Source organism: Homo sapiens, chromosome 3 (genome assembly GCF_000001405.40).
Source record: "Homo sapiens chromosome 3, GRCh38.p14 Primary Assembly".
NCBI lineage: Eukaryota > Metazoa > Chordata > Mammalia > Primates > Hominidae > Homo > Homo sapiens.
The window spans coordinates 163,441,619-163,445,037 of NC_000003.12; positions in this window are offsets into that span (position 1 = coordinate 163,441,619).

Genomic DNA, 3,419 nt, shown 5'->3' on the forward strand with positions numbered 1-3,419 from the left:
ACCCCTCCTTCCCTCAGCGCCTGGCAAAGGCATTCAACTTCCTGAGTCTAAAACGTTGAGTATTTTAGGTACCTCATATTAATAGAATTATATTGTCATTTTGTAACTGGCTTTTTTCACATGGCATGTCTTCAGGATGCATCCATATTCTAGCATGTGTCAGAATCTCTTTTTCTTTAAAGGCTGAATAATAGTCCATTATTTGTATATATCACATCTTATTTATTTATCAATTGACATGGGTTGCTTCTATCTTTTGACTATTCTGAATAACGCTGATATTAACATGGGTGTAGATGAATTTCATTTTGTTTTTAAATTGAAGAAATACTTACTAAAAATAAAAATTTATTTTAGAGATGGCTTAATTCACAATCATCTTTTTCTTTTCTTGACATTTTCCCTGGCAGGTGGTTATAAAAGTTGACAAACAATTATCATAATAACTTCTTAATTAGACTCTTTTCACAAACATATTTAAGAAAAGTAACACATTTTAAGAGACTCAAAATGTATCAATGCTTTTGTATTGTGTATATGCTGAAGTTGGGATAATTTATTTTTAATACACCCTGCACAAGAAGTTTCTCTATTTAAACAGTATCACATACATTTAATAATATATTTTATGTGTGGTATCTTTATATACATGTATGCATGTTTATATATGATTATGTATGCTTGTATGTGTATAAATACACATACACACAGACATAGATACCTGTGTGTGTGTGTGTAGTGTGTTTGTGTTCAAGTATTCAGAGCCTGGTGAATTAATCATTTATAACTTGAACTTCTAATAAGGAAATGGGAAACAGAGGGTATTTGTTTATGTCATGTATTTAGAAGTGAAAATTAACTCTTGTAGGGCTTGCACATCTTAGATGGATAGCACAAGGTCCCCCAAAAATGCTATATGATACACCTAACTTTAGGGGTAGGCAGTTATAAGGAAAGCAATTTTTTTTTCAATGTATTGATGTAAAGGGATATCTTATAATTATGTACTAAAAAAGTGTGTGTGTGTGTGTGTGTGTGTGTACTCATGCATGATTATACGGACATAGAAATGACAGCTTGTTAACACAAATACAGAAAAGGGAAGGAGAAATAACAATGTCAGTAGTTTGATAGAGACAGGGATGTTAATGCAAACCCAAGAGGAATAAAAAGATAACACCAAAAATTGCAGTTTATAATATATGGCCTATTTTGTGTATTTCCAAAAAATATGAAAATTATTTTAAAAGCCAAACATAGGATTAAAGAATGATGGTGATACAATTTCTTTCATAATGACAAAATAAACAGGCAGGTAAAAAGGTTGAAAGTTGTTGCTCTTGTACTCATAACAAGAAAGAACTCAACAAACAGAAAATTGACAATTATTATTAGAGCTATCAGAAAATTGAAGTCATAGGGCAATTTTCTGCACCCCAAACTTGAGACACAGACAGACAGATACAAAGAATCACAGCTTGCTGGAACAGAAACTCAAGAGCAACAGTCCACTGCTGAACCTAGTAAGGTGGTAGAAAAACATAAACTATAATCAATGAAATGCTAGAGGCTTAATGTGGAAAAGCTTGAGAGTTAAAAACTCTGGGGAAGAAGAGTATCGGGAGGGTACACAATCATGAGTCTTACCTGCAGGAACCTTCAAGGTTCTCAAGACAAGATCAGAGAAAAATCCCCTCATGCTTTAGGCAGGATGTATTTTTAAATACACCTAGAGCATTTATTTATCCTTATGAAGGCCAGCTGTCAAGTGAAACTACTTTACTGTAGTAGAAACTGACCAACCTGGGGAAGGGAAATGCCTAACTCCAGCCCATTTTAGTCTTCCATATGTGGGGAGAGAAATGCCCAATTACACTTTCCTCTAGCCTTATCTCACCTGTGTTGGATGTCATAGTTCCAACACAGCTGTGTTGTGCAGGTTACAGCCCAGGGGTACAGGCTTACTAAAACAGTAAGACATAACCATAAGACTATAAATCACTTTCTCTACCCCCATGCCTTACTACCAAATCAGTAGGGCTACTATATAATAGCAGAGGGGTAGAAGAAAAATAATTGCACACCTCAGATCTTTTTAAAGGCTGACAGAGAAACTCAAAGACAGCAAGGGAGACAAAAACAAGGCACAGGAGGATATTTTAGCATCTGACACCTGCAGCTGGATGTAACAGAGAAGAGTTTAATCCCTAGCCCAATAAACATGAAACCTCATACTAAAGGCCAATCTACCTCAGTTTCTCCTACACAATACCTCATGTATGGCTTTGTACAAAAAATTACATCATGCTAAAATACAAAAAAAAAGTTTGAAATGAGGAAGTAATCATGAGAACCAGACCCAGATATGGCAGGAATTTTCAAATTATCAGACCAGGAATTTAGAACAGTTATGATTAATACTTTGAGGGATTTAATGGAAAAAGTAAATAACTTGCATGAACATATCAGTGATATCCACAGATAGATGGAAACATTGAAAAAGAATCAAAACGAGATGCAAGAAACCCAAAGTGCCTTTTATGGGCTCTTCAATATAATGAACACAACCAAGTTGAAGTAAACATGAAGACATGGCAATAACTAAACCGCAAAAAGAAAAAAGAATAAAGAAAAGTAAAACAGAATATACAAGAGCAATGGTACTATTATTAAAGGTGTAAAATAAACAAATATCAGAAGTATAAGACAGAGATAAAGAAACTGAAGAAATATTTAAAGCATAGTAACGAATAATTTTTTAAAATTAAGGTCACCTGCCAAACCACAGATATAGGACATTCAGAAAACACTAAGCAGAAGAAATATAAAAGTCTAAATGTAGACATATCATGTTCAAACTGCAGAAAATCAAAGACAGAATAAATCTTGAAAAAAGCCAGAGGAAGCAAAACACCTTACCTAAAAGGAGCAAAGAATAGAACTACATTGGACTTTCCTTTTGTTCAACATGTATATATGATTTCCTATCCATAAACATAAACACACAAAATATTCCAATCACAGTTATCTGCATCTATGTGTATATCTGTGTATATGAGCATAAAATAAGTTACAACAGGTTGAAATTTTAGTCTGTTAACATTGTTTACCACAAAGATTGGGAGTGAAAAACAATTTAAGAGTGGAGGATAGTGGAAACTGTGAAGACTATTACATTTTTTTCCTTCAAAACTTTTTGTTTCTAAATTCTTAAAATAAGATTTTATTTTTTAAAATTTTGAAATCAAGCAAATGAAAATGAATTACATACCAGAAAATTTGGCAATATGATCTAAACCTGTTTCCCTTGAAACACAAAGAGAACATTAGCGTTGTAGAATATATTGTTATTATTATTGTTGCTATTATCATTATTATAAGCATTTTTTGATATTTTTCCTACTAACTATTTTTATTAC